The sequence below is a fragment of the Homo sapiens genome, chromosome 7, assembly GCF_000001405.40.
Source record: "Homo sapiens chromosome 7, GRCh38.p14 Primary Assembly".
NCBI lineage: Eukaryota > Metazoa > Chordata > Mammalia > Primates > Hominidae > Homo > Homo sapiens.
In genome coordinates this window covers 19,338,440-19,344,439 of record NC_000007.14, presented here as the reverse complement: position 1 = coordinate 19,344,439, position 6,000 = coordinate 19,338,440, and the positions used below count along the sequence as shown (strand labels likewise).

Sequence of the window (6,000 nt, the reverse complement as noted above, 5' to 3'; positions counted from 1 at the left end):
GGCTGAGGCAGGAGAATGGCGTGAACCCGGGAGGTGGAGCTTGCAAGTGAGCCAAGATCGCGCTGCTGCACTCCAGACTGGGAGAGAGAGCGAGACTCCGTCTCAAAAAAAAAAAAAAAAAAAAAAAGTTCAACATCTATGAGGAAAACTATAAAACACTGATAAAAGATATCAAAAAAGAAATAAAGAGATACTTCATGTTCATAGATAGGAAGACTCAATATTGTCAAGATATCAGTTCTTCCCAGCTTAATCTACACATTCAACACAATCCTAATACAAATCTCAACAAATGATTTCGTGGATATTGACAAAATGTAAACCGTATGTACAGATGACTTCCTCAGGGATATAAGTATGGGAGTTAATAGAGAAGCCCAGTACTATGCACTAGGGGATACATACACTTAATGGGAGAAAGAAGGATTGGCACAGGAGAATCAAAACTTTCCCCAATACTTCCTGTTTAATACCACATTTAATATTTATAATTAACATTAAATGACTATATTCTTCATTTGCCTCATAATTTTTTCTAGTTGAACTGAATAATTCCTAAGACTTTCACATATGTGATAATATTGTACATAATAAACAAAAAGTTGTAATTGCCAGATACTTTGGTCATTATTAGCATGATCAAGTCGATTTTTCCTTTATTATCAGATCCAAAAACATGTGATTTCTTTTGTAAATGGAATCTCTAAGTTAATATATTTAGGATAAAATGTCTAATTGTTAACAAAGTACACACCAAAATGGAAGAATCTTTCCCCACATTCTGGAATAACTACTTCTCCAAAAGTTCCTTTGCAAATACTCCTCTAAGGAGGAGGGTTTTCTAAACCAACAGTGGTCAATTATTTTTTCGACATTCTTTCAACCACGCTCACCTGTGCTGTGCCTTTTAACCTCTGTTGCCATCTTCCTGTGGATTTCTAGGATCCAGTTTTCTTTCTAGGGCTTTGACCAGAAGCCTGGAATTGACCTCTGGGACAAAAATATGTCTCTGGGTGGGGGTTGCATTAACTCCTTATAAGCTAAATGCTAACTCCTTATAAACCAAATGCTAAGGTGAAACTGTGGAACTGAGTCCTCCTCCAAAAAGGGAGAAGAAAGGATGTCTTGTGACACACCAGGTAACTGGTAGCTACAGTTATGCTTGCTAGGATTTGGGTGTATGGTGCTTGGCTTTGGTTAGTTCCCTTGGTCTTACTTTCCCAAAAAGGAAACCTTTGCATGATGGGCATCCCATTTATTCCCTGTTTATTCCATCATATGGCAGACTTTGCAGGATAACTGCTCAGAACTAAAATATTAATCCAGATTTCTACATTATCCATCCCTTTTGTTCTTTCTGAGCTGCAGCCAGAGATTCTCGGTAGGTTCACAGGAACAAGCAGGGTTAGTCTAAAATGCAGGCAAAAACTTAAAAACAACTAGTGGGTTTAGAATTTAATGACAACTATATAAGTTTTTAAACATAATTTCTCTCTCTCTAGTCCTCTATTTCGTTAAGAAACAAATGATCCTAGGACTGAGTTGTTTAATAGACTTTAGTCTTATACTTGACCTCATTACTTGCATAAAGTATAGCAAGAATAATTATTTCTACATAAGCCTTTTGGATTGGCTTTGATGGACATGTGTTCCACAAGGAATCACTGATAAGACCTTTTAAAGCTCAGCCCAGCCAAGGGTTTGCATCCTCAAATACCAGCAAGTTGGGTGATCCTCTCCTCCTAAGGCCCCAAGATAAACCTGGAGCTCCTGCACCTGTAAGAAAGTGACAGTCTTTACTGACCACAGTCAGGAACCCTGTTCAGGACTGTGTAGGAAAGGGTATGAGGCCAGTTTCCCCATTAACTTTAGTCTAGTTAAATAAAGTCTATTTAAACAACTCAGTCCTATGAGGTTTTATTGGCTCTATGAGTCGAGCTTGACTCCTTAAAGGGAAGCATACCCTTCCAGTCAAAGCCTTGGTAAAATAACCACTTTCTCCAATGTGTCCTGTTGCAAAACAAAAATGGATTCTTACCGCACTGATGCAAACAACTATATTGCCATAAGAATAAGAATATTCACAGAGGCCAGGGGTGGTGGCTCACGCCCGTAATCCCAGCACTTTGGGAGGTGGCCAGATCACCTGAGGTCAGGAGTTTGAGACCAACCTGGTCAACATAGCAAAACCCTGTCTCTACTAAAAATACAAAAATTAGCTGGGCATGGTGGCGTGCGCTTGTAATCCCAGCTACCCAGGAGGCTGAGGCAGGAGAAGCATTGGAACCCAGGAGGCAGAAGCTACAGTGAGCAGAGATAGCGCCACTGTACTCCAGCCTGGGCGACAGAGCAAGACTCCGTCTCAAAAAAAAATAAAAAGAATACTCACAGATATTTTCCAAATTCTAGAAGAATGAGGCAGACAGAACAAACGTGCTCCAAATTTTGATCACATTAGTATATACCTTACTTAATTATTAAGGCTGTAATCAGTTCAAAATCCGTTTCCTTGACTCTGAAAAACAAAACATGGATCAGCGATATTCTAAGCAAGTCAGAAATGTTGCTTCAGCTTTCTGAGGTCAGTCCATTAGTTAATTCTTGTTTTGCTTGATATTCATGAGCATTTCAGCTCTTTATGTCCTATACATTTTCCTTTATTCCAATGTTACAGTCTCTAAAGTTATCAGAAGCCTGTATTTGAGAGCACCTGTTAAAAGTTCTATAGCTCATTATAAACCGTCTTTGAAAAGGATTAAAACAAGACGACAATTGTCTGTGAATAGCATAATGTCCAGGGTAGTTACAGTTAGAAACACAACTGACAAAGAAGTTTGGTTATCTCTGTGGTCTACAATAACTTAACAACCCTAATTATTATTGATGGCATATACTTAGCCATTAGAATTTTATAAATCCCGTACAATTTTGGAACATATATTAGCATTATTCACAAAAATATACCTAAAGAAGATTGAACATCATTTTGGCAATCTCATGTATCTAAACACGTCAATCCTGTTTACCTCTCTTTTCTGGACACTTCACGGGCTCTCTGAAGTATGCGAAAAGCCAGGTGCCAGGGAAGACAATTTTGAAACTTCAGTTTGATTTTGGGAAGGCTGTCAAATATGTTCGAGGTTTAAAACACTTGATATTATGAAACTGAATTCCAGATTACCATGTTATTTATTTTGCCAAAACAATTACTCAGAAATTTTAAAGAAGCAAAAATCTTTTAAATCCCCTTCGAATTTAGTCAATATGTCCACACAAAGAAGCTCTTCTGCAAGATTAATTTCCACAATTCTTCTACCACTTCTTTGAACCTTCAGCTTTTCCTGTCTAACTCAAAACAATCCTTTAACCCTAGGCCAAAGTTTACATTTCCATGTCTCCTTATAACCTTTTACTATAAAACACATTTTACTGTTCTTATACCCCTTGCATGTAAATCTATTTTCAGTAGTTTCAATTATAACTAGGAGTTGTAATAGTAATTTCCGCAAGTTTTAATTTTAAGGTAAAACTTGGTAAATTGCTTTAATTGTGTGCTAAGTGGAGCCAAGGTTTACCTTCTTAGTTAAGGGTGTGTTTTAGTTCATATGCCCCGGGGCCTTACCAATAGTGAAGCCAGAAAGTCAAATAGTTCTCAAAACCTAAAAAGCAGTTTGTAGCCTCAAAACAGTTAGCCAACCTAGCATCTGACCTGCATTTTACCAAGTCTTTAGGGCTGTTTTTATTTCTCAAAGATTGAAGTCACAGTCACGTGAAATGAAAGGTACCATAGCTTTTAACTTCCCTTAACAAAATACTTGATCCCAGCGCTTTTCTTCTGGCCAAATTATTTAAAGCTCTTTTTAGAGACATCGCACACAGTGCACACACATTCAGGCAGAAGAAAACCCAGTCACTGGGTGGGGCCCTTTAAGAGACAGGGCTAGGAAAACATGCAGATATTGAACCTGAGAGGGCTCATCCCCTCAAGCAGGATTGCTAAACAAAGCCTTGCCACCGGAGTTACAAGCCATGCCCTCAGGGTGTAAAATAAGATGGAGGCTTGATTTCACAACCACAACTTTGCAGAAAATATAAACAGTGCTAGTTGGGTCGGGGGTGAGGGGGTCCTGCCCTAGTAAAACAGCTTCTAGGCCGGGCGTGGTGGCTCACGCCTGTAATCCCAGCACTTTGGGAGGCTGAGGCGGGCAGATCACGAGGTCAGGAAATCGAGACCATTCTGGCTAATGCGGTGAAACCCCGTCTCTACTAAAAATACAAAAAAATTAGCCGGGGGTGGTGGCATGTGCCTGTAGTCCCAGCTACTCAAGAGGCTGAGGCAGGAGAATCTCTTGAACCCGGGAGGCCGAGGTTGCAGTGAGCTGAGACGGCGCCACTGCACTCCAGCCTGGGGACAGAGCGAGACTCCATCTCAAAACAAAACAAAACAAAACAAAATCTTCTAGAAAGAAAATAAAATTTTAAAAGTTAACTTGCTGACAGGGTACAGAAGGGGAAAGAAAAGAAACAGTTTAAAAGTGCATGGGGAAGAACCTCTTATTGTTATGCAAGTGGTTCCTCCACCAGGAAGATAAGTTTAAGCTTACTGTCCGATAGAGTTAAACCCCTTGGCCATGGAAGGGGAAGGCTGGGGCAGCCTCCAGTAGCTGGGAACCAGCCAGCCACCTGTGCAGGACCCTTGGGGTCATGCGTCCCAGCCCCAGCAGCGAGTGGGGAACGGTGGGAGCCGCTGCTCACCGGTGGGTCTCCAAAAAGGAAGGAAAAGGCCATGAAAAGGCCCGGGAGCTACGGGGGTTGGGGGCATGGTTTCCCCCACCCTCTGAAGTCCGAGGATGAAAAGACTTAGAAGCAACAGCGAGAAGTTTTGAGTCCCCATTTCACTCACCGCTTCTCCAGCCCCCATGTTGTGCGCCAAAAATGTTTCAGGACTTTTCCTTAGTTCAGCTAAAGACGGGGTTCTTTGTCCCACGTCCATGAAAATTTTGGCTCGCAGACAATTTGAATGGTAAGACAGGGTTTGATTGGGTGAAACGGAAGAAAAGGAGAAACAGGGAGTCTCAGTAGGCCAAAGTCCCTGCTAGAGTGCTTACCCACCACAGCTTGAATCCCAGGTTCCACGCAGGAAGAGGAGGGGCCAGCCTCCTCCCTGCTGCAAACCTGAGGCTCCACCTCAGTGGGCAGGGTGGTTAGAGTTTCCCCAGGGACCCCCTCCCACCTGGCTGTCTCATTACTAAGACATCTTGAACAAGGAATTTACTTTCTTCCAGCTTCAGTTTCATTGTCCAAAGAAATGAGGATAAATAATGTCTTCTTATAGGTTTATTATTAGAATTAAATTAAATGAGATGCTTGTGTAATGCTATCCCAATATCTAGCATACATTATTAAATATTACTACTTAAATATTTACTATATTTACATATTTAATATTTAATAATTGGTAACTATTACTATTTCTTAAATAAGTTCAATATATAGTTCTTACTTCCCAAATTGGATTTCAATGTAATTAAGAATAAAGTTTATATCTCTTACTTATTAACAATAATAGTCATCACTTATTGACTACTGACCACTTTATATGAAGTGTCTCATTAAAATTAGTAACAATCTTATGATGAAGTTATTGTGAACCCAGTGAACAGATGAAAAGGAAAATGTGACTTCGAAAGATTGAGGAATTTGCTCCAGGTTACAAGTTATTAAAAAGAGGAAGTGGGCTGGGCATGGTGGCTCACGCCTGTAATCCCAGTACTTTGGGAGGCTGAGGAGGGTGGATCACCTGAAGTCAGAGTTCAAGACCAGCCTGACCAACATGGAGAAACCATGTCTTTACTAAAAATACAAAAATTAGCTGGGTGTGGTGGCATGTGCCTGTGGTCTCAGCTACTCGGGAGGCTGAGGCAGGAGAATACTTGAACCTGGGAGGTGGAGGTTGCAGTGAGCTGAGATCACACCACCGCACTCCAGACTGGGTGACAG

General features: G+C 40.8%; 2 annotated features.

The window, feature by feature from the left end:
- Positions 2,719–3,218: an enhancer, noted in NCBI's record as "H3K27ac hESC enhancer chr7:19380845-19381344 (GRCh37/hg19 assembly coordinates)". NCBI's record gives its function as "activates a minimal SCP1, AML or CMV promoter by ChIP-STARR-seq in primed H9 embryonic stem cells {active_cell/tissue: H9 hESC(primed)}" and the evidence as "EXISTENCE:reporter gene assay evidence [ECO:0000049][PMID:30033119]".
- Positions 4,677–5,340: an enhancer, noted in NCBI's record as "H3K27ac-H3K4me1 hESC enhancer chr7:19378723-19379386 (GRCh37/hg19 assembly coordinates)". NCBI's record gives its function as "activates a minimal SCP1, AML or CMV promoter by ChIP-STARR-seq in naive H9 embryonic stem cells {active_cell/tissue: H9 hESC(naive)}" and the evidence as "EXISTENCE:reporter gene assay evidence [ECO:0000049][PMID:30033119]".